Source organism: Homo sapiens, chromosome 10 (genome assembly GCF_000001405.40).
Source record: "Homo sapiens chromosome 10, GRCh38.p14 Primary Assembly".
NCBI classification, from domain to species: Eukaryota; Metazoa; Chordata; class Mammalia; order Primates; family Hominidae; genus Homo; species Homo sapiens.
In genome coordinates, this window is record NC_000010.11 from 126,636,623 (window position 1) to 126,662,740 (window position 26,118).

The 26,118-nt window shown below is 44.0% G+C and overlaps 1 protein-coding gene across 5 annotated transcripts in view; it reads right to left on the bottom strand.

Moving 5' to 3' along the window:
* Positions 1–26,118, bottom strand: part of C10orf90 (chromosome 10 open reading frame 90) — a 245,697-nt gene that overhangs the window by 211,626 nt on the left and 7,953 nt on the right. For all 5 annotated transcript variants that reach the window (NR_146939.2, NM_001350922.2, NM_001350921.2 and 2 more), the window contains exon 2: positions 9,943–10,015. Coding sequence is in view for 4 of the 5 variants with exons in the window: in NM_001350922.2 (NP_001337851.1) it covers positions 9,943–10,015 (73 nt within the window). In the remaining variant the exon portion in view is untranslated. The remainder of the gene's footprint in view (positions 1–9,942; positions 10,016–26,118) is intronic.

The following is a 26,118-nucleotide window of genomic DNA, read 5'->3' on the forward strand; positions in this document are numbered from 1 at the left end:
CTGGGAAGCTGGATATTAACATGACCATTATATTAAATAACACAATAAGCTTCAAAAATACATTTAATTCCTTGTGTCACTTTCAATTTATGTTGCATTTGTTTATATGCTTTTTTCTTTTTTAGAAATCCTTTCCTTAGATAGCCAACTGAGCAAAAGCCACTAAAAAAAATAAAAATAACACTTTAGCTCATAACCAAGTCTATTCTCTCCATGCCTTATTAACAATATTTCACCAAAACAAGCAGCATTCTGCACAGCGGGGACCACAAGAGTTTGGGAACATGCCCTCTCTGTGCAGTGTTTTCCTGATAACATACAGCCCTTGGAAGGAGTGTGTGACTTCCAGTGATTATTTGTAAGTATTATTTTTCTCTTGGGGGGCGCTCTTGATATACAACTAACAATTAATAAGGAAGTCGAAACAAATAAACTTCTTTCTTTAAAGGAGCCGAAAGTCACACCAAAAATAATGCATAAGCCCAACTTGGACTTCTGCAGAGGTTAGCGTTCTTGTTCTGGGGCCAGGCAACACCAGGAGGAGACAGACTGATGGAGTCAGAGGAAGAAGAGGAGGCTGATGCCAGGAGGAGGGCAGATTGATTCAGCGTGGTGAGTAGAAAGCAGACACAAGGGGACATGCACTCTGTGTCGTCTCAAAGTCCTATTGATGTCTGCCTTCTGCCTTGGAGATGGGCCTGATTCCCTGTCTCCATGCCCCACCCAGACTTCATCCTAGACTTAGCTCCTACCTCCCACCAGCCAGCCCATTCCCCCACCAGGGGGTTATTGAGTGCTTAGGCACAGCACTGAGACTGGCAAGCAAAATCAGACAGGCCCCTGCTCTTGCGGAGCTTGTGGTTTGGATGGAGGAGCAAGTATTCATCAAATCCAAATCAACCTGAAAGCATGACTGCAACAGGCACAGCAGGGGAGAGAAAGGTGGACACCACCGATTGGTCATGACATCGGGCTGGCTTCCAGAGGACATGCAGGTAAGGGGCTACAGGTCAGGTCGGTGAGGGTCATGGCCACTTGGCAGGATGGAATCCACAGGCATGGGCAGGGATCCCAAAGCAGTAGGCACATGGTGGCAGAGGGTGGGACAGAGTGGGAAGGAGATGGAGTGCAGGGTGCAGGACCCAGGGCCTCGGGGCCTTTTGCACCACAATAAAAATGGTCCTTATTCCAAGAACAACTGGAAGGCATGGAAGGGTCTTAAGCAGGGGTGGTGTGGTCCGAGCAGGTCATTCTGGCTGTAGATGGAGATGAGAATGAGGAAGGTACAGTTGGGCTATTGCAGGAGTCCAGGCCAGCATGTCAGTGGCTAGAGAGAAGAGGCTGGGCCCCAAAGATGGTGAGGAAGCAAATCAGAAGGACTTACTCATGGTTGGACATTGGAGTGAGGGAAGGCAGAAAGACTCCAGGTTTCCAGCGTGGCTGACAACAGCGGTGTCGTTGCTGACATGGAACAGCATTCCTGAGTTCAGAGCGATGGCGGGCTCTAGGTCGGGGTTCACTGGGCCCCCCTGCCTCCCTAGGCCCAGTCTAGAACTCAGATTTCTGCATTGCTCTGGGAAGTGAATTCATGACTTGGATCTGATTCCTCTGCCCGATCCTGGGACCTCAGGAGCTCTGGATGGGGCTGGTCATGAGCCAGGGATGTGTGTGGGACCTGGGCACCATCTCTTTCCACTGTATCCCCACCCTACATTCCCAGTCACCAAAATGTGCCTCCTCTGAGGACTCTGTGTCCTCTTGCTGCACCCCTGACACTGCCTCTTGCCTGGTTGGTGTCCACACTTGCCTCTCACCATGCCCCTAGGAGCCAAGTCTCAACTTTCTGTCACACCTTCTAGCACATCTGGATCAGCAGCTGTGCTGATCCCTGGGTCCCAGCTGGTCTCATTCTGCCCACTCCTCTACATCTTCTCTCTCCCCCTGCCAGGCCCTCCTGGTGAAAGGCCTAACATCGAGGTCCAGTATGACCTGTGCCTTGACATCTGGGGAAAATGATGAGGGCCTTGGATGGCCTATCATATTTCCTCTCCCATGCTGCTCCCTCAGATAAGCTCCCCCAGCCAAACAGCCCTCCTTATCATGGGATCACAGGAAACCAAAGTCACCCCGCCCTCTTTTTACTACAAAGCCTGCCTCCCACAGACCCAATGTGTTCACACGGTTCCTCAGTGCAGTCCTCACGGAGCCCTCCTCCCTGGAGCCATGAGCGTATGTGGCTAATAAACAGCTGTTGACCTCAACTGTCCAGTGCTGGGTATCATGTGTGGGCATTTCCATCACGCTAGAGCAGCAATCCTTCCCTCACCACCAGGGTGAAGAGGAGGCCATTAAAACAGCCTTTTATGGAATAACTTTACGCTGAGTAACTCTTAGACATGCGGGAATGACAATCACTTGGATGAGCAAATATTACACCTTTCTTTCTTAAAAACCCAGCAAACTCCAAAAGACCGTGAGTGGTGGTTTTCACAGGGATGCTCATGACAACTTCTTGCACACCCATAGGCTCTGATGCTACAGGCCTGGGTGAGGCCTGGAGACCTATTTCTGTGGTAGGCTTGATCGGTGATTCAGATGCACCCCTCCAGTTGACAACTGCTGCCAACTCAAAGCTATTTATCTTGCTCTGTGGTTGCAGGAAAATCTCGTCTCCATGGCGCATGATGTGCGGTTGCTGCTCAGCCATGATACTCAGGCCTCTTAACGATATCTCCCCAGGAGGTGCTCCTTCTAAGCAAAACCAAAAACCAGTGCCAGACGCCTGTCTCTCAGACCTGGCTCCTTTATTCAGATCAGGATACCGATGCCCAAAGGTGCCCACCATGACACCCATGGCGAGGTAGAAGGGCTCAAACACCTCAGAGGGGGAATTCATTGAAATCATGGGTAGGTCTCCTCATTCCACTCTTCTGAGAATGAGACACGGGGCCTCCTGGACTGTCCCCCACATGTCCACCCCGATGTCTGATTTCCTCACATCTGGATGAAGTCTTGTTGCCAACTGCCTTGGTACACAAGAGGCAGTAACTGAGCATTCATGCTTTTGAGAGGAAGCTGTAAAATCTGGCTGATGCATTTCTGTCTGACACAAAGCTATATAGACTGCGAAATCTGCAGTTGAGCTCCTTTCGTAGTACAGTGTTTTACCAATTACTTTTTAAATTAGATTATGTTACCAGGTGATAGGCAAAGGCCAAATTAGAGCAGAAACTCATGGAGGGGGAAACAGTTGCTTATTGCACTATTTGTGGGTGATTGCAGCAAAATTGGGGGTCAAGGCCCAGGGAGCCATGAAGCAGAGTAGAAGATGGCACAGAAGCACAGCGGCTCTTCATAAGAGGACACACAGGTGTCACACAGTGGCAAGGGCCGGATGGTCTATTTTCTCTCTAATAACATCCTACCCAAGCAGGCACAACAGACTCAAATGCATCCTCTTATGGCCTCCACAGGAAGCAGGAGTAAATGCGTTTTATTCTCCAGTGATCAGAAAAGCAATGCTGCCTTTTTCCACCACCGCTGTGCACGGCAGGGTGAATGCTAGCTGAAGTAAACACCAAGCAGACCCCATCCAAGCCACTTCTGGGGGAGCCTCTGTCCCTCTCAACAAGGGAAGCTGAGGAGCAGGTCAGAAGCCTGTTGCTCAAAGCTCTTGAAGAGCAGAAAGGCAGATGTTTTCCCCATGGGGTTCTCAGCCACTCACACGCTGATTCCCACCCTGCTCCGCAGGTTTGCCTGGGAGGATAAAGTGAGAGCCTCTGAAGGAGAAATGGCTCCAATAGCTTCTTCATACAAATGATGCCATTCAGTCTATTGAACCACTTCTCCCTGCTGATCCCTGAGCTTGGAAACATAGAGATGAGAAAATAAGTTCCCTACACTCAGAGCCCACGGTCCTGGAGGGAAAAAGGATAAGTCAGCAAGGTCACGTGAAAGGATTGTGGTTGTGGTTGTGCAATCAACAAAATGCCCTGGAGAGACCTGGGGTGGGGTGGGGCAGGTTGAATCAAGCTTCAGTCAAAAGAAAGAGTTTTATCAACAGAAACATATAGAAGGGTTTTCAGACAGAAGAGTCTCTGGACAAGGAGAGAGATAGGCAAGGGCTGGGTGCAGAGCACTTGCGAGGCCATGGACCTGGAGAAAAACCCAGAAGGATAAATCAGACTCTGAGGGGGAAAGGCACTAAATGCTATGCCAAGGAGCTTATATTTTGTCCTCTGGGGACTGATGTGATTTTTGATTGGAGAAGTTGCATTGATTGGAGATACTCTTATAAATTGTTGAATACATGGCTTCTCCCATGGGCAGGGAGAAATCTATGGGAAGGAGGCAGATGGAGTGAGGTACAATGAAACGGTTTCTGTAACAAAAGATAATCCACACACTGAAATTCCAAAAATTAGAGCCTTCCTAAAAACCAGGTGTTTCAGGGAAAGTAAACAGATAAATGTGGTGTCCCTTCTATACCTTGTTAACAGAGAAGCTGCATTTACAAGTGGCTTCTTCTGGAAGAGAAAATAAATGTAACTCGCACCAGGTTCTGGGATGTTTTTAAGGGATCCTAGAACAACCCTTCCTTGAATCATGACGAAGGGTATAGGGTTTATTGGGGCAACTAATGGTTTAATTCAGTACTAATGAAATAGAAACTGTTGTTATGAAGGAAGCAAATCACTGCTTTTGTAAAATCTGGAATAAAAGAACAATCATCCTCAAGTTTTAAGTGAAATATAATTACTTTATCCCACTCATCAATCAAAGTTTAAAAACTGAAGGTTGTAAAGGTCAGGTTAAATCGATCAGAAGGGAGAAAATTCCACGCCCCCCGCCATCCGCCCGCTCCTTTTTCCCTAAACCAAGTGAATCAGTCATTAAAAGTTCCAAGTGACCTTCATCATTTCCCTCTCTATTTACATTTCCCCTAAATGATTTCCCCAGAAATGGCTGAACTAGACACCTGACTTCCAATCGCCCTCAATCCATAGACCAAGCAGTCTCATCGGCAGACAGGTAGCACAGTGATGGGGAAATGTTACAAAATCTTTTTGTAACATGCAGAATGGGGATCTGAAAGGGACTTTTTACCTCTCTCTGATTTTAAAAGCAGATGTGAGTTTGGACAGAATAGTCACCCTTCCTACATTTGTTTTCTCCTTTCGTGTTCAGATCCTATTAATCATAGTAAACTAATCTTTTACACAGGCCAACAGATTTCAAAGGCCCTGCCAGGAGGACAATTTAACTATAAGAAATCCACTCCCCACCCTTCCCAGTCTTGGAATTTCCAGTGACTGAGGAGGTGAATAGCTTCATTGTGAAAATGAAGGATGCAGAAATGAAAATTCAGAGATGACATTCAATTCTGATTTCCTGCTTGGGCTCTATGCACCCTGTTTGGAACAAATACCCCACTGATGGAGCTGCTGCTGGAGGCTACCACCCGCATCACTGAAGTTTAGAGCAGCTTCATAAAGATCACAGCATCCAAAAGCACCCTTGTTTAAGAGCAAACCAAGAAATGAGGAAGTGGAAGGACCATTCCAAAGATGAATCGCTAATTGATGGCAAGGTCAACGCTGGCACTACGTACTTCAATTTAAAAGACAAGGCTGGGTGCGGTGGCTCACGCTTGTAATCCCAGCACTTTGGGAGGCCAAGGTGGGCAGATCACGAGGTCGGGAGATCGAGACCATCCTGGCTAACATGGTGAAACCCCGTCTCTACTAAAAATACAAAAAATTAGCCGGGCGTGGTGGCGGGCGCCTGTAGTCCCAGCTACTCGGGAGACTGAGGCAGGACAATGGCATGAACCCGGGAGGCAGAGCTTGCAGTAAGCCCAGATCGCGCCACTGCACTCCAGCCTGGGCGACAGAGCGAGACTCCATCTCAAAAAAAAAATACAAAACCCTGATGTCTGCTCTGTGGTTTTCAGGACAGTGCTCCTCTTCCCACCCCACACATGTGGCTCCTCCTGGTTTTGCAGCTCCATCCTCTTCCCAACTCATATCTTCTCTCCCGCTGTAATCTCAGCCATTCTCATGGTTTCTCATACCACCCTCGTGTACACCATGATGATATCAAGATTTACAACCCTGACCTGTCTCTTGATCTCTATGCCACACTGCCAGCTGCTTCGCGAGCATCTGGAGCAGATGAGGTCACATTGACCTCTCACACGTAGAGTTTCCAAACACCACAAACTCAGGATCCTCCCACCAGCACCCCGCTAACCCCATAAGCCTCCTGGATCCTGAGTTCCCTACCTTATGAATGACAGCACTATCTATCCAGGAACATCTTTAACTTTTCCCTTATCCCAACAGCATGTAAATAATTTGACTAATTTCTAGGGCTCCAGAAGTTCTAGCCACCATAGCCACTGCTCCACCTAAACCCACATTACCCGCCACCTGGAATATCACAACAGAGTTGTCTTCCTAGCACTTGGATCAGATAGTGTATTCCAGCAACTTCAAAATACTTCATTGTTCCTCTTTGCCTACCTAATAAATACAGATTAAAAATAGGTGAGAAGGCTGATTTATTTTGGCTTAATGCCATTGAAAAGCTTTCTAAAAATCCCTGCTGTGTGAGCACACCATGGGCTGCCTTAAAACAGAGTGAGTCCCCTGTCCCTGGAGTTTACTATGTGGCCAGCCCACTCCACAGGGTCTTCCCCATTCCTGCATGGGGATGATGAAGAGGGGTTTAAAACATCAGACATCTCAGAGAAGCTAGACAGAAGGACCTCTGTGGCCCCTCCCAAGCTGGAGATTCTACGGGCCTACTTATGCCTTTTGAGATACATGCCTGGCCCACGGATTCCTTCTAGAACATTGCCCCACTAGCTCATCACCCCCAGGATTGGGCCTCTGGAAGTTGTACATCTAATATCTGACCTTGCCTCCTGACTGATGGTCGGGTCAGCATGGCGCCTGACCCAGCAGTTCCAGGTAAGGGTCCGCACGCTCTTGCTGCCAGGGCCCAAGTAGCAACCTTGGTTCCTGTCTTTCTACACCCCAGTGCCTCATCTTCCCATGAAGTTCACTGGTTTCCTTACAACAGTTTCCCTTTGTCTACAATAGTGGGTTTCTGGTCTCCAAACCCAGAGTTTGACCTAAAACTCTGTTCTCTGGGTTTCCCAAAGCCACTGAGAGGGCTAAGAAAGACTTCATCCTGGTCCCAGACCCTTCTGATGAGCATGGAAACACGGGCTCTAGTCCTGAGCTAAACTCCCTGTTCTTTCCCGAGGCAGAAAGGCCGGCCATGGAGAGCCCAGAGGGCACAGGTGGCTGCTTAGCCCTCCTTTTGTAGAAAAGGTGCAACTGGACTCCCTCCTTGACCAAACCTCAGCCAGGGTCCTCTGGGCCCTCTTCTTGACTAGGCCTCACCCTTGGCCTGTTTTAAGCCCAGTTTTAGGATTAGTGAGAATCCCTCTGAGCCCACGATTGGAGAGAATCCTGCTAAGCCAGTTTAGGGGGAATGCCCCCGACCCTTGATGGCTAATCATGTTCACCTTCCCCCACCTTAGATACTAAGCTCCTCTTTTTAATTTTCCATCAGCTGAGTTCCTCACTCTGCCTTTCGGCCGTAAACCTCCATCTACCCTTGCTGTATTCAGAGCTGAGCTTAGTCCTGCGCTGAAGGCTCCCTCCTCCACTGCAGAACTCCAGTAAAATCTGTCTTACCGTTTTAAACAAGTGCCCAGTGCAATTTCTCTTAAACAGATGGAAACAACCTTGCGGGAAGACACAGAAAACATGAGAGGGTGCCTTGGAGAATCAGCCCTGCTGGGAAGCGTGAAACCCATTTAGGTCTGACTCCTTGCCTTCTACTAGAATATACTCAAGGTTTAGGACTGCCTTCAAGTGTTATTCCATAATCAGCACATATTGGCAGACTAAAAAAAGAGATACAAAGCCAAGAGCTCTGTCTCCCTCCCAACCCAGGGTTGCCTGAACAATTTCCCTGCAGCCTGCACCGTTAACCTCTAGCCTCCGGCCAACATGGGCTTGATTCCTAAGCCATTAAAGTGCTCAGCCCCTCTCCAGTAGGCATCCACTGTGGAAGTGCCCGGTCCTAAGATAAAGAGGACCAAGGCATCCACATTTAAGTCACCAGGCCTCGTTGTTCTCACGGCCACCTCTGAGTGCTCTGAGGAAAACATGGCACTCTTCTCAGTGTCCCCAAACTCCCTGTGGGATGCAAGTAACCAGACAGGTTTTGGGAGCCTGCCTTTGCTGTTCAGACCACAAGAAGTGCCTGCAAATGGATTCATGTTCTCACTACAGGCAATTTCTGGGCTAAGTTTTCAAAGAGTTCAAACTAAATATCTGTCACTATCATTCTCAGTAAACTATCGCAAGAACAAAAAACCAAACACCGCATATTCTCACTCATAGGTGGGAATTGAACAATGAGATCACATGGACACAGGAAGGGGAACATCACACTCTGGGGACTGTTGTGGGGTGGGAGGAGGGGGGAGGGATAGCATTGGGAGGTATACCTAATGCTAGATGACGAGTTAGTGGGTGCAGCGCACCAGCATGGCACATGTATACATATGTAACTAACCTGCACATTGTGCACATGTACCCTAAAACTTAAAGTATAAAAAAAAAAAAAAAAAAAAAGCTGGAGGCTGGGTGCAGTGGCTCATGCCAGCAATCCTAGCACTTTGGGAGGCTGAGGTGAGCAGGTTGCTTGAGCCCAGGAGTTTGAGACCAGGCGAGGCAACATGGCAAGATCCCCTCTCTACCAAACAAACAAACAAACAAACAAACAAACAAAACAACTAGCTAGGGATGGTGGTGCGTGCCTCTAGTCCCAGCTACTTGGGAGGCTGAAGTGGGAGGATCGCTTGAGCCCAGGAGTTCAAAGCTGCAGTGAGTCATGATAGCACCACTGCACTCCAGCCTGGGTGACAGAGTGAGACCCTGCCTAAAAAAAAAAAAAAAAAAAGAACAAGCTGTAAACCATGCTTCGGGACTACCAGAAAGGATTAAACATGAAAGCTTGTTTCAAGTAATGTTTTTGTCTTGGGTTGACAGTGTCAGTTTTGGAAAGGAATTCAGGTCCCTGATATCTTTGCTATAGGCAGGTGGTGGAGAGAAGATATAAATGTGTCTATGTGTGCGTACATGTATACATACATGCATATATATCCACATCCACATACATACAAACACACACATAATCTCATGCACTTTTCATCTATAGTGGCTCATCTGCCACATTTATAAATTAAAATTAAAATGAGGATTAAGAAATAAAATTGTGACATTAAAACATTCTTTTAGAATTGAATTTGTTAGTCTCTGAATGGAAATAGTCGATTAACCCAGTAGTCTTATTACAGTTCCATCAGAACATTGGACTAAATCTGTGGGATTTTGCTCACAAAGAGTGGGGCAGGGGAGCTGGTTTTCACATCATTTATGTTAACAAACTTAATAAAAGTTATGAACTGTAACCATCTCACCTAGCGTTTTTACAGTTTAGTGGCTAAGAATGGAAGCTTTATAAAAAAGATTTATGAATGCACATATCCTGCCTATATTTAAATTGCATCCACTTTGTTCTGAGAATATTCATATTTGTCCCATTACTCATCCCTGATGGAGCCCTGCTGCATGCTGGCCTGACCCACATGCTCCACGCTCTGCAGGGAGCTCAGGTCCCAAAGGCACCCCTGAAGTCACCGCTGTGCCTGTGGCATCCTTTAGCCTCACTGCCTGGCTGTTTAGAAATTCAAATCAGCTTCAAATCTTGGCAGAGCCACTGAGCTATCATCTCACGTTTGGGGGAAAACTAGGCTCAAAAGTACATTCCATTATTAATAAAAATAAAAGAGAGAGAGAGAGAGAGTAAATAAAGGCTTGAAAGGGAACCCTGCCTGGGCAGGCCCCAGTCCTTTACCTGCATTGGAAAGACTTTCATTTCTTTCCCAGGCAGAATGATCTTTGGGGGATGAGAAGAGTCGACTGTGGATCTAGAAAACAAACAGAAATATTTCCCAATTTCATATTTTGATTTGCCAGATATATAATCTTTAATAATGTACATTATTTTTTTAATCAGGAACATCCTGGAATTTCTCAATTCTCCTGAGAAACAGATACAGATTGTAATGAGGACTTACTTCCATTTTCTCCTGGGTTACCTCTATCAATGACTAAAAGGAAGGTTTTTGAGGATTTCAAAATGCACAGGAAAAGAGGGAGGGAGGAAAGGAAACTAGAAAAATTCAGCCAACATTGATTTTGCCGTGGATTTGGTTAGCAGATCAAGGAACCACATCTAATATTTCTCTTCTGGCCCATCACAGTGCTGAATGGGTGCTGGGCTGAAGCTAGACATTCAATAAATATTGATAAATTGATTAGCTATGAGCCATTCAATTTCAGGCGTTTAGGACCCAGTGAAAACAAGCAGAATGTATAGGAAACTATTCTGTTGTCTTCAGGTATGACTGTTTTGCTGACTTTTTCTGCCAAAAGGTAAAGATTTCTTTTGTGATTTTATTCTCAAAGCAGTTTGCTGAGGGTGAGATTTTGGCTCTGATTTCTAACTTTAGTGAGACTCCAGAACATCTCATTCCATACTGGGTTTGCCTGTCGTCCCTTGGAGTATCCTGTGACCTCGCCCCAAAGCTGGAGAGCAACTGTCCTGATGGTCCTGTCATCAGCTTGGCATGACTTGAAGGGGCAACACAGTCATAGAGCATGAGCTGGGCTCTAATTGTGAGCCTCAGTTCATGTCCCAGTCCCGAAGCTGAGTTAAACTTTTTGGTGTTCGGTTCCCATTATCGGCCCCTTCTCATCCCCTGCATCTGGGCAACCAGCTCTGGGGTTGCAGAGGGGAATCTGTAGTCAAGCACTTCTTCCATCCCAAGGAGAAGTCTGGCTTCCCCCCGATCCCATAGTGGAAGAGACAGAATGGGGTGGGACAAGGACCTAACCTGGGCTGAGAGCCAGAGAGTTATTTTCTACCATCTCTGCCCCTCCCCATGGCTCAACTCAGCCACCACCTATCAGCCATGTGATTATTAATTCTAATAAGTGCTGAAAATTATTGAGACTTCACATATACTGGTTATGTATGCTCAGTGCTTTACATACATCCTCTCATTGAATTCTCCCACCTCTCAGAAAGGTATGCTTCTTTTAGCTCCACTGTGAAAGCTCAGAAAGCTAAGCCTTCAGTTTGGTAACAGGCCAAGGTCACCTAGCTGGATGTGATGGAGCCAGGAATCAGATTGGGCCAGCTAGACCCAACACGCTAGCTTTTAGCCAATGTGTTCCAAATGTTGTTTTTGTTACTAAGTGCTATGGTCTAAATGTGTCCCCCAAAATTCATGTGTTGGAAACTTCATCTCCAGTGCAACAGTGTTGAGGGTGGGGCCTAGTGGGAGGTGTTTAAGTCATGAGGACTCTGCCTCATGGATGAATCAATGCTGCTGTTTTTAAAAGGGCTTATAGGAGTGGGCTTGCTCGCTTCTGCTCCTCTGCCATGTTTGTTTTTTTTTTAATCAGGAACATCTTGGAATTTCTTCATTCTCCCAAGAAAGAACTACAGATTGTAGTAAGGATGTACTTCCATTTTCTCCTGGGTTACCTCTAGCAATGAATAAAAGGAATGTTTTTGAGGATTTCAAAATGCACAGGAAGGGAGGGAGGGAGGAAGAAGCAAGAAGGCTCTTACCAGATGCAAGTACCTTGATCTTGTACTGCCCAGCCTCCAGAATTGTGAGGAGTAAGTTTCTGTTGTTTATAAATTACTAAGTCTCAGATGGTCTGTTATAGCAGCACAAAGAAGACTAAGACACTAAGTATCATTATTTGGCTATTTGACTATATCTGGCAATACTTATATAGCCATTATACTTCTATATATCTTTTTCTCTGACTTAGCGTAGACGCGCCATGGGAAATATTGGATAATGCATAAAAACTTTCAGGGAAGGAAATAAAAATGCTGTAACATTGTATATGGGGCTGGAAAATAATTTAAATCTTAAGTCTGTCAGAAGCAGCAAGTTATCTCTCCACTGCTTCACACCAATCAGGTAGATCTGGAGGCTGTCTTGGAGGTGGAGGGATGCAGAGAGAAACTGGCATAGTGGAAATTTTAAGCTTCTTCTCTCCTGGGTTGTTGTCTTGTGTGGTTCTTTTAAGAAAGATTGTTATGCATATTTTTAATGTAACTCTATCAAGTCTAGCAAGTTAGTTAACCTGGGATATGACAACACAGAATTAATTTTCACTTGAAAAGCTCCTGATGCACCACGTAGTTGTTAGTCAAGAGCCCCAGCCTTGCCATTAAGTAACAAACACTGAAGTGCTTTGGTTTGGATCACAGATGATATCTCTCTCTCTCTCTGTCTCTGTCTCTCTCTCTCTCTCTCTCTCTCTCTCTCTCTCTCTCCCCCCCCCCCAGCAATTCACAATGGATGGCAAATTAACTAAGACCCACAGCGTTCTGCAAATGCCTGGCTTCTCCAAAGCCCGGAACCATGTTCTACAGGCTATGTGCACTATTGATTCAAGAATTTTCAGCGATGGGGTGATTCAGGAACTTCTTTCGTCAGCTGGACCCCAGGTCTTAGTCCAGTCACAACATCCTGCAAAGACTTGGCGTGGACTCTACTTTCTGCTGGTTTCTCCCTGTAATCCTTTCATGCAGAAGAGCCACACTTTCCATTGCCATTAGGGTAAAGTATGATGAGGGCCCTGGTGGTGCCCCTGCTCATCTCTGTGGCATCACTCACTGGGCATCTCTCTCCTGTCACACACTCTATGAGCTCCCCTCATCTCCTTGATTGGTCACACGCTCACCCACCACAGGGCCCTCGCACGCATTGTCCTATTTGCATAACACATCTTCCTGGTCCTTCTGGAGCTTGGCTCATATGACCTGCCCACATGCGTGTCTCTCCTGACATTGCCTTCAAACCAAGGTCAGGTTTCTGATTCATAAGCTCCTGCAGAAGCATTCTTTTTCCTTCAGAGCACTTGCCTTGGTTTGTAAATACACACTGATGCATGTGAATCTACAACCGATGTCTGCATCTTCCCTCAACCATAACCCCCATGAGAAGAAAGTTGTTGGCCTCACTTGCTAATGGATTCCTCCTCACCCAACCAGGTCTGCCTCCCCCTGAGACCCAGAGGTTGCTGGGAGCAGGGCCTACCTGTACATCTCTGGTGTCCAGCACCATGGTGGGTGTTAATGAGAAACACAGTGGATGTTTGCAGAAGAAAGGAGAGGAGAAAAGATGGAAGGAAGGAAGGAAGTAGTAAGGGAAAAGGTAGAATGGGAGCTTGGGAGGGAGTGGGGAGGGAGGAAAACAGGGGAGGGGAGGGGAGAGGGAGGGAAAGGGCAGAGTTCCCGATCAAGGTCAGGAGTTAACAGGAGATGCCAGCCTCTGGCCTGCAGTGCCTGGGATTTATGTGGCACTCTTTTTACAAGTGGAAATATTTTCCCCAATAAACCAAAGGTTGACTCCAATTTTTACTATTTACTACTCCGAGGGAGAGCCTGATCAGCCTTTGCTATTTCGTGAGTGATCATTAAGTGACTCCTAACTCAGGCCTTTCAAGACTGTGTCTCCCTTAAGTCTCTGAAGACATTACGGTGTTATTTAGTGAATGGAAACGGTAGTTTACCAAAGCCACACAATGGGAAAAAAGATTTAAGAACCATTTTTCACCTCTGTTCCCAGTGACTCATAGGCCTGATTTAAGCCTGGTGTCACGTGAGGAGCTATCATTGAGGGCAATTAATCCTCACAGGATCGTCCAACAACTCTGTCACAGAGGCGTGATCATTATTATTTCCACTTTACAGAGCTGGAAAGTGAGGCACAAAGAGGGTAAGTAACTTGCCCAAAGTCACACCCCCCTAGTAATTTAGTAAAGGACCCCACATTGGAACCCATGCTATTAGAATCAGTCCTAGGGAATAGAGAACTATGATTAGGATCAAGTACCGTAAGAAAATCATGACACTCCTTGATAGAGTGGGATGCCCCAGCTGGCAAAGCTCTGATATTCACATGACTTCATTTTGATTCTCCAAATTCCCTGAAAGGTGGTGACTAGGACACATAGATTTTTAAAGTTATATATAACAAAACTCAGGCCCAGAAAGGATAAGAAACCTAAGTGTCCAAGAACAAGAAAACGGTGGCTCTGTCACCTACACCAGCCCTCCTGACCCTGGTCCAGCCTTCCTTCCACCCCCCAGCCACCTGCCACTTCACAGGTACAATCCTGCCAGACCCACCCTGCAGAAATTCTGTGGTCAAGCCTGGTATCTGCTAAGACAATGGTAACATCAACATCACATTGATCTACGAATTCCATCCGCAGCCAGAAGCAGTGCTCCCATGAGCTTTGACTAAACATTGTAGGTGTAATAATAGTAGAACCTCCCATATATGTAAGACTAAATGCTTTACAAAGCAACTCCTACATTACCTCACTTGTTCTCCCAAATCCTGCCATCACAGCTGGACTCAAATGAGCAAATATTTTACTGTTTTTGTTGTTTCCTGACTCTCCCTTCAAGATACCTGAGTACTCACTATGGATCCTAATCTGCAATGCTAACATGCATAAAGCTCTGTATTCCGAGAGTTTTTCTCCCTGGGTTTGTAGCAAACTACTCTGACAGCAAAACCTTACCTGAACTAACCTAAGGCTATTTATGATATTAATTTATTCCATTGAGTGTAAAAATTCATACATTTTATTAATTAAGCTTAATTACAGAGTTCTACCTCAGATCCTGCTGGAGTTATTGCACAATATTATCTTTTTAAAATCCAAAAAAAATTATTGTTGAATCACATCTGATTCCAAGAGTTTGAGATGGAGGATTGTCAATCAGTACTGTGGACATTTGATGAATACTCATCGCCAGCTTCTGGGTTAGGGTTTTCCATTAAGCAAGCAGAACAGGAACAGAAACGTTATACAGAGCAGGAAAGAAGAGATGGGAGAAAACAGCTGAGAATTTCCCAGAGTCTATACAGAACACTGCTGCCAGTGCCCTCCCCCACTAACTTTGCCTGTCTGGACATGTGCGTAGTTTGCAGAGAAAACAGAGGAGACATCCCAAGTCTACTTGGATCCCAAGAAGGCAAAGACCAAAGGTGGATTTTTGGCTGCATCTTCTCTTTAAGATAAAGATAGACATTATTGGAGTCCAAAGGAAAGAGGACTATCTCTTTTCAGCATCTGAATGTCTCCTCCAAGGGATGTAGGAGGCTCCACCAGAAGGCAGACAGCACATGCGATGGATGGTTCCAGGTTGGACTGATGATTGGTTGGTGAGCACAGACTCTAGTGGGGATGGTATGATAGGTACTCTCTACCGCTAATCTAGATGCAAGATTGATCTTTGCCGGCATTGCATGTTTTTATTCAATCTTCTGAACTCTTCTGCAACAATAATTAATGTCAGATCAGTTTATGGATCAACAGTGTATTTTCTGGTTAATGCAACCCTGCACCTATAATAACTCAAAACTGAGATTTATTGCTCTACCATGATTCCCTCTTCATGCTTCATCTCTTCATGTTTACATCTGGTTTAACTTTTTCTAATCTAAAATAAATCAGCATGAAAAGCATTAGATTTTTCATTTAGATTCTCAATTGCCTTTTATTACTGAGATAATATCCCTTATCTGATTGCAAATGGTAGGATTGTTCTCTTGTTAGGATCTGAATGAGGATGCTGCAGTTCAATCTATCTGTCTCTCCTTATTTCTCCTTCACTTTTGTTTTCAAGGGTGGTGGCTGGTGGGGTTCTGATATGAAAATGAGATGAATCAGGATGTAAAGTGGATATATTATTCCTACTATTTCTGCTCTTGGAGGTGCATGGAGGAAGACAGCCTCCCCTGGCTGTCTAATGAGATGTGGTCTGCAGAGCGTTCACTCTTCATTTTCCCATCAGGTGACTTCAGCTCCCTGTGTGTTTGCAGGTATAAGCGAGAGCAGCAAGGATGAAGCACTTGGCTGGAGATTTCTATGCAAACATCAGCCATGAGGGGAGAATAACTCCAAAATATAGGCATGTTAAATACCCAGTTACCAAGTCAAATTTAGCTGAACTATTTCGTATATGAAAGAGGTAGATTTCCCCAGATTACTTAAGTATTCCTTTCAGCATGTTCTATTATGTTTCTTATCATTTGTAACATTTTCTCTTTACAGGCATACCTCAGAGATATTGGGGGTTCAGTTGCAGACCACCACAATAAAGCAGATTATCACAATAAAGCAAACCACATGAATTTTTTGGCTTCCCAGGACATAGAAATGTTGTTTACACTATATTATATTCTATTAAAGGTGTATTATGTCAAAAAATGTACATACCTTAATTTTAAACTACTTACTGCTAAAACAAAAATGCTAATCATTTGAGCCTTCAACAAGTTGCAATCTTTTTCTGGTGGAGGGTCTTGCCTTGGTGTTGACAGCTGCCAGCTGATCAGGGTGGTGTTTGCTGAAGGCTGCAGTGGCTGTAGCAATTCCTTAAAATGAGACAACAATGAAGTTTGCTGCATCAATTGACTCTTCCTTTCACGAAACAGTTCTCTGTAGCATGTGAAGTTGTTTGGAGGCATTTCACCCGCAGTAGAACTTCTTTCGACTTTGGAGGCAATCCCCTCAAACCTCACCACTGCTCTATCAACAAATTTATAGAATATTCTAAGTTGTTTGTTGTCATTTCAACAATGTCCACAGAATCTTCACCAGGAATAGTTCCATCTCAAGAAACAATTTTCTTTGTTCCTTCATAAGAAGTGACTTCTCATCCATTAAAGTTTTATCATGAGATTACAGCAATTCAGTCACATCTTCAGGCTCCACTTCTAATTCAAGATCTCTTGCTATTTCTACAACATCTTTAGTTACTTCCTCCACTGAAGTCTCGAACCCCTCAAAGTCATCCATGAGGGTTGGAATCAACTTCTTCCAAACTCCTGTTAATGTGCTATTTTGACCTCCTTTCACGGATCATGAATGTTCCTAATGGCATCTAGAATGGTGAATCTTTTCCAGAAGGTTATCAGTTTGCTTTGCTCAGATTCATCAGCAGAATCACTCTCTATGGCAGCTATAGCCTTAGGAAATGTATTTCTGAAATAATAAGGCTTGAATGTCGAAATTAATTCTCGATCTATGGGCTGCAAAATGGATGTTGTGTTAGGCATGAAAACAACACTAATCTTCTTGTACATTTCCATCGGAGCTCTTGGGTAACTGGGTACATTGTCAATGAGCGGTAATATTTTGAAAGGAATCTTTTTTTTTCTAAGCAGCAGGTCTTAACAGTGGGCTTAAAATAGTCAATAAACCATGCTGTAAATAGATATGCTGTGATCCAGGCTTTGTTGTTCCATTTATAGAGCACAGACAGAGTAGATTTAGCACTATTCTTAAGGGTCCTAGGATCTTCACAATGGGAAATGAGCATTGGTTTCAACTTAAGTTACCTGCTTCATTATCCCTAACAAGAGAGTCAGCCTGTCCTGTGGAAGCCAGGCATTGACTTTACCTCACTAACTATGAAAGTCCTAGAAGGCATCGTCTTCCAGTAGAAGGCTGTTTAGTCTCCATTGAAAATCTGTTGTTTAGTTTAGCCACCTTCATCAGTTATTTTCTGGATAACTTGCAGCAGCTTCTACATTAGGGTTGCTGCTTCGCCGTGCACTTTGATGTTATAGAGACAGCTTATTTCTTTAAACCTCATGAACCAACCTCTGCTAGCTTCAAACTTTTTTTCTGTATCTTCCTCACCTCTCTCAGGCTTCATAGAATTATGGCTGGATTAGGCCTTGGCTTAGGGGAATGTTGTGGCTGGATTGATCTGCTATCCAGACCACTCAAACTTTCTCCATATCAGCAATAAGGCTGTTCTACTTTCTTATCATTCCTGTGTTCACTGGAGTAGCACTTTTAATTTCCTTCAAGAATTTTTCCTTTGCATTCACAACTTGGCTAACTCTTTGGTACAACAGGCGCAGCTTTCAGCCTGACTGGGCTGTTGACATGTCTTCCTCACTAAGCTTAATCATTTCTAAACTAATCATTTCTAGGCATAATCATTTCTAGCTTTTGATTTAAAGCAAGAGATGTGAACACTTCCTTTCACTTGAACACTCAGAGGCCACTTGAGCGTTCACTTGAACACTCAGAGGCTTATTAATTAGCCTAATTTTCATACTTTTGTAGCTCAGGAAATAGGTAGGGCTTAAGAGAGGGAGAGAGGTGAGAGAACAACTGGGCTGTTGGAGCAGTTTCTTGATTAAGTTTGGTATGTTTTCTGGGTGCAATTTGTGGCACCTCAAGACATTTACAATAGTAATATGAGGCCGGGCGCGGTGGCTCACACCTGTAATCCCAGCACTTTGGGAGACTGAGGCAGGTGGATCATGAGGTCAGGAGATCGAGACCATCCTGGTCAACATGGTGAAACCCCGTCTCTACTAAAATACAAAAATTAGCTGGGCATGGTGGCACGTGCCTGTAGTCCCAGCTACTAGGGAGGCTGAGGCAGGGGAATCGCTTGAACCCAGGAGGCGGAGGTGGCAGTGGGCCGAGATCGTTCCACTGCACTCCAGCCTGGCAACAGAGCAAGACTGTGTCTCAAAAAAATATATATATAGTAATATGAAAGATCATTGATCACAGATAACCATAACAGATATAATAATGAAAAAGTTTGAAATATTGTGAGAATTTCTAAAATGTGACACAGAGACACCCAGTGAGCACATGCTTTTGGAAAAACAGCACAGATAGACTTGACCAATACAATTGCCACAAACCTTCAACTTGTAAAGTATGTGATATCTGCAAAGTACAATAAAGTAAAGTGCAATAGAATGAGCTGTACTTGACAATGTGAGCTGATGATTCTAGAACTGAGTCCATTTCTCATTCTGTGTGGAAATGTCCTTCCCCAGGAATTGTTTACCACCGCTTCCTACTTTCCCCCAATTAGAGTCCTGAACAGTTTGAAATACTTTGAAATCAAATACACTGAAGTTACTCTGACTTTGGAACACCTCAGAGAGTTCTGGGAATTCAATAGCCCACTTGACCCTTTAACTTTTAACTCAGTTGTTGTTTTTCTTCTTTCAAAGCAACAGAGACAAAACAAAACAAAACAAAAAAAAAAAAGAAGAAGAACAAAGGCATTTCCAGCTCCCTGGCTCACCTGTTTCCATGACATGCATGCCCTGGGCCTGGGGGGGAGAAGACCTTCAGATTTGGTATATTTTACCACTGGTGGTTGCTTTCTGTGATTTTTTTCAGCCAGACTGACAGAAAGGAGTCCTTTTCGTGGCTGACTTTCACACCTTCTCAGAATTAGGGGAAGTGATAACTTCTGCTTATTGAACACTAGCAAAATTTGGTCCTTAAGAGCTTTATAACAGAAAAATCGTAGCAGCCACACCATGGAGTGCTTACCAAGGGCCAGGCACCATTCTAAATGCTTCACAGGCATTATGTAATCTCCATGGCAACTCCCAAAGGAAGGTACTACTGTAATCCCATTCTAAAGGCAAAGAAATGTTATTCTTATTAATAATAACATCAATAATAATGTGATCAATAACTTTTTGGGCTCTTATTATGAGCCAAGGGCTTCCCTAAGTACTTCTCATACACAGCTTACTCAAGCCTCAAAGCAGCACAAGAAGAAGGTACTCTTAGTAACTCCATTTTACATGTGAGGCAATTGACACTGAGGCAGCTAAGAGTCCATGAAAAATTGAAGAGTTAATGAATGGAAGAGTCAGGATTCATATCCAAGGTCACCTGATCAAGGCCAAGCCCTTGCTCCTCTGCTGCCTCAGTAGAACATCATTTCTTTAATTAAGATGCTAGAAGTTGTAACCGAAATTTATCACGGCCACACAATACTACATACTTCAGGATTTCAGCTACAAGACATTTCAGAACAGGCAACGCTATAGCTTTAGAGAGCAGACGGGCGGCTGCCAGGGACTGGGCTTGGAAGTGCGTTGAGTGCAAAGGGCACAGGAGACTTTTCGGCTTGTGGAAATGGCCTATGTCACGATTTGGTACTGGAGTTCAACTGTACCCATTTGTCACAACAAAATGAACTGTATGCTTCAAAAACGTATGAGTAATCATGTATGTAAGTTATATCTTAATAAGGCTGATTTTTAACAAATATATTGTGAATAAGCTTCAACTTAGCTTAGAATTTCAATTCAACAAACATACAACTAGTTCGGGAAACAGGACATGCACCTGACCTCAGGGATCTCACTGTCCAACAAAAGAACCTATAACTGACAACCATCCCAGGCATTCATACTTTGTGTTCTGTAAACACAGGTAAGTGCAGAGCCAGTTTCATGGGTGTGAGACCCGTGAATCTGCATAGGGGCCAGTACTCAGAAGTGCCATTCATTCAGTTTAATGTCACTATTTTGAATGTTTTTTTTTAATTGTGGTAAAATATAAACTACATAAAATTCACCATTTAAATCATTTTCAAGTTCACAATTGAGCACGTTCACAATTTGTACAACCATCACCACTAACCATCTCCAGTACCTTTTTATCATCCTGAACAGCATCTCTGTACTTATTAAATGATAATTCCCCATTCCTCCTCCTCCCAGCCCCTGGGGGCCTCTATTTTACATTCTGTTTCTGTGAATTTGACAATTCCGGGTTCTTCATATAAGCAGAGTACAACAACGTTTGTCCCTTTGTGTTGGATTATTTCATTTGGCATCATATCCTCACAGTTCATCCAAAGGTGGGCTGCATTTTCACTCTGTTGAGTGTCCTTTAATGCACCCAATATTCCATTTGTATGAAGTCCAATTGATCAATTTTTTTTCCTTTGTGGGGCTGTGCTTTTGATATCACCATCTTGAAAATTTTAATACTTTGTCTTTTTTTTTTTCTTTTTTTTTTTTGAGACAGAGTTTCACTCATGTTGCCCAGGCTAGAGTGCAGTGGCCCCATCTCGGCTCATTGCAACCTCTGCCTCCTGGGTTCAAATGATTCTCCTGCCTCAGCCTCCCGAGTAGCTGGGATTACAGGCTTGTGCCATCACACCTGGCTAATTTTTGTATTTTTAGTAGAGACAGGGTTTCTCCATGTTGATCAGGCTGGTCTTGAACTCCCAGCCTCAGGTGATCTGCCTGCCTCGGCCTCCCAATGTGCTAGGATTACAGGCATGAGCCACTGTGCCCAGCTACCAATACTTTGTCTTTGAACTTGTGTTTTGTGGCAGCCAACAGGACTATGGGGCATGCTGGGGGCAGAGGAGGCACATGCACTCCCTCACCACCCCATTGACATAAGGTGCTCCTCATTCACAGACTTTGGGTGAACCTACAAAGTCTGGGTGTGGGAGTTCAGGAAGATGCACAGTGAGTACAAGGTGAGCGCATTCTGTCCCAGAACAAGGACGTTGAAATGCCGACAGCCATGAGGTCCCGCTTCCCATTGGAACCAGACTGACTTCAAAGGCAGACAGAAGGCAGTGATGTTCTGAAAAACATGAGTGATCAGTAGCCCTATCAAAATCTCTCTTACTCATGCTACTTCCCTGTATAGCCAGCCACTTATGCTGAAGTGATGACACAGAAGGAAAAGAAAGACAGGGCAACCCTAGTTCCTTTCCTTGTAGTCTTTCCTCACTCATCAGCAGGCCAAAGGGCAGAGAATATTGGTAAAATTATAGGAAGCAATGAAATTAAAAACAGTTGAGTTGTTGTTTGCAGCACTTCCATTATTCTGGTTTGAATGAAATACATATATGCGTCTATAAGCTACAAAAAACATGAACTCTGTCATTTAGGTGAATCCACCTGTGAGTTAAATGGTTTTTGTATTTGTGTTAAAACTGTCATTGCACAATGTAAAGCTGAACAGTAAAATTTGTGATAATAATTTAACATTTTAATTTTTACTTAGACCACCATTAAATAGCAAATTTAAAACACTGTAAAAAAGTCAAGAGACAGGCTACAGAATAGAATGAAAATTATTTGTATTTTAGTACCATTGCTGACAATTTTCCTTGATTTTCATGGATTGATTGATTGATTGATTGATTGAAATGGGGTCTCACTATGTTGCCCAGGCTAGTCTTGAATGGGCTCAAATGATCCTCCCACCTCAGCCTCCCAAAATGCTGAGATTACAAGCGTGAGCCATTGCTCCTAGCCCTTTCCCTAGTTTTAAAACAAGGGAATCAGATTTTCATTTCGCAAGCTTCCTCCAGATTGCAGAGGCTGAACCTGAATAAATAGCCATTATTGTGGAGCTACTCCACAGAGTCTTCATGGTTTCTTTTCCTGTATATCTGACAGCCAGCACAGTGGCTGCACGCATTGGGAACTACAGAGCTTTCCTACTTCCAATCAGCAGTGAGGATATAAGCACACGGCATCTCCCATTCACTTCTGAGCCTCTCTGCATATCCAATAGCCAAGTCCCTTTCACACAGCTGACCCAGGACATCACCACCAAACAGGCTGCCTTGAAAACTAGCGCAATATGAGGCAGCCAACCTAGAGCCATGCACTGAGAAGCTGGCAGTTTCCAGAAAGCATCAGTGAGGAGTTGAGTGCATTTGTGGCTAAAATAAGGGGATCTGTGAACTTTCTGTAAATTGAGGGCTGAATCAGAGGCATCTGAGCCCTGACATAGGCCCTTGGTTGCCAATGCACTTGCCCCTGGCTGCTGGCTACTCTGCTGGGAGGTGGTTGCTTGCATTAGACATAAAATAGCAAGCGACGTGTTGTTTACTTTGAGAAAATATTTCTCCCATTTGTCTTCGGCCCTATTGGTTTCTCTAATACGTTATTATTCCTAAATTTGGGATATTTTCCAAGATACTCATTTTTAGAGCTGTCTCAAAGTCCTTTCTAGATGGAGAAGAGATATAAATTAGACTCACAGAGAGGAAATTAAATAATTCTGCTTTTTGGAATTGGATTAATGAAAACATTGATCATACAAAGTGACCTTCATTTTTAGCTTCATTTGGACAAACTAGAGCTGTTACCTGTTTGTCCATCTGTCTGTCTGTGATCACTGAAAAATGAGTGAATCTGTAATAGAGACTAATGTAAGTATTGAATCAAGGAAGATCTCTTACATGCACTGACTAATCAACCATCATGCACCCTGGCCCCAGGTGCTCATCTAACACATACCGCATGCACTTCTGTTTATTCATTTCTTCGTTCATAATGCATCCCACAAACGTCTACTGAGTGCTGGTCTGGTGCCAGGGGCACATGGTGAGCTAGAGCAGATGATGTGCACTTTGCCTCATGGAGCTCCCAGACAGAGACTCCAACCTACGTGCTTTCAATCCCAAGGGCTCCTTCTATTTCCTTTACTCCACAGATGCAAAAATTTAAAATATAGTGTGGCAGGCCAAATACTCAGATGATTTTTAAGATTCCCCTTGGTGTACACGCCCTACATGTTCCCCTGTCTTTGATGGTGAAAAGATCCTATGAATATGACGGGCTATCATATCCATGATTAAGTTACATTATATGGCAAAAGGGTTGGGTTTTACTGACATAATTAAGGCTACTAATCAGTTGACATTGAGTCAATCAAAAGGGAGATTATATCAGACAGGCCTGACCTAGTCAGGTGAGCCTTTTATAGAAGTCAGAGAGATTCAAAGTAGCAGAGATTCTCCTTCTGGCCTTGAAGAAGCAAACAACGTATTGTGAGCTGCCCACGGCTAGAGCCTCAGACAGGGACCTGAAGCAGTCCTCTAAAAGCTGAGAATGTCTCTGGCTAACAGCCAGTAAGAAAATGGGGACTTCAGCCCTGTAGCCACAAGGAACTGAATTCTGCCAAGAACCAGTGATCTTGGAAGAGGATCCCAAAGCCTCAGAGATCACAGTCTCAGGTGACACCTTGATTCAACCTGAAGACATCCTAATCAGAGAAGCCATCTAACCTACACCAGGACTTCTGATCTACAAATAATCAATGGTGTTGTTTTAAGCTGCTATGTATGTAATAATTTGTTAGGCAGCAATAAAAAACAAATACAGATTGTGTCTGCCAGATTTTTTCCTTTTTCTAATAGCCAATCATAACAGACACAATACATGATCCTGCCTTAAATTGATATCATCTCAGTCATAAGTACAGCAGCTAGCTGCTTCAGTTAATTTGTGCATGGTGATCATTTCCCTTGGACTGGAGAACCCCTACTGTTAACCCTGTGGACCATGATTTTGGAAACACTTAACGTGGCATGGGACAACCTTGAGAATCTGGCTTCTGCTATTGTATGCTTGACACAAATGTCATTAACTTGGAAAACTTTTAGCCATTATTTCTTCAAATCTTTTTTCTTCTCACTCCTCCCCCACATTCTTTCTGTGTATCTAATCATATGTGTGTTGGGCTTCTTGATATCATCCTCCAGGTCACAGGAGCAGCATCCATAAAGTACTAGTTACAATTTGCCTGCACCCAGGGGCCACGTCTTTGTGCCATGGCTCTATGATAGAGTTGGAGATGGCAGGAAAACATATGTTCAAACTTGGACAACAACAACAACTCATTTTCATGGGGTACAGCCTCCATGCCAATTCCAAGGCTCAACCCTTTATATAGGTTATCTCTTTTAATGCCCCCAGCAACGCTATAAGGCAGATATTATCATTGTTCATATGAATACAGATGAGAAAACTAGGCTCAAAGAGAACAAGAAAATTGCCAAGGTCACTCAGCTAGTAAGAACCCAGACAGTCTCGACCCAGTGCTCTTTCTCTTAATCACACCACCACCTGTCATCTGCCATCTCTTCTCTCCCTTGGTTTGGCTGAAATGTGGATATGGTTTCCCCACAAGTTCCCAATTCCCTGATGGAAATTGACCAAAATGATGTCAGATAGATCTTACAGTGCTCTTTCTCTCTTGCTGTCTCTCCCTCTCTGAATCTCACTCTTGCTCTCTCTCTCTTTTTTTTTTTTTCTCTCTTGTCTTCATTTTGGAAAGTTCATTGATCTTTTCTTCTGCAGCATCCAATCTGCTGTTAATCCCACCCAGTAAAATTTCCATTTTAGATAGTGTCATTTTTTTCTTATCAAGAAGTTCTTTTTTAAAAATCATCTATTTCTTGCCCCATTATGGTGATGTCTTTTCTTAAATCCTTGAATTTAAAGGGCAAACAATATAATTATAATATTTGTAATAGCCTTTTAATAGATCATTGCTTGCTAATTCTCTCATTTGCATCATTAATGAATCTGTTTTTACTAACCAGTATTATCTTGGTTATGAGTCATATGCTCTGGATTCTTTGAATGTTTAGTAATTTTGATTGGATGACAGACATTGTAAATTTTATATTATTGCTTGCTGGATTTTGTTGTAGTCTTGTTAAAAAAAAAAAAAGTTGAACTTTGTTTGCCAGCTAAACCACTTGAGGAATGGCTTGATTATTTCAACAACTGGTTTTAAAATTATTATGGGTGGATCTAGGGTAGCCTTTACTGAGGCTAGTTTAGCCGCACTACTAAGACATGACCCTCCTCGGGGCTCTACGTGATTTTCCCTGTATTCAGTGAGGTCTCTACATTCCAGGTGGTAAAGGACCCGAATGATTCATGGCTCTGAGGTAGTGCTGAGAAAGGCTCATCTCACAGCTCCCCAGTAAGATGTTCTTTCCTTGCCAGTTTTCTCTGTCTGGTCATAGAGACTTTCTCCCTACACAGCACAGATTAATTTTCAGCCAGACTTAAGAGGGCCTGAAGCAAACTTCTGGAGCTGTTTTTTTTCCTCTCAAGAAGTGTGCCTTGCAAATAACAGTCACATCCTGTGTCTTCTCAGCTCAGAGAGACTACTGGGTTCTGTTTAGGTTTTCCCTTCCTGTGCCCCCGTTCAGAAATTGCCATTCCTTCTGCCTAAAATGTCCTCCCCTTCCCTATTTGCCTATACTCTCTCTGTCCCCCCACGCCTGGAAACCTCCCACTCTTCCATAAAGAATGTGCCCAGAGGTCTCCTCCATGCATTCTTGCTGAGTTCTCTG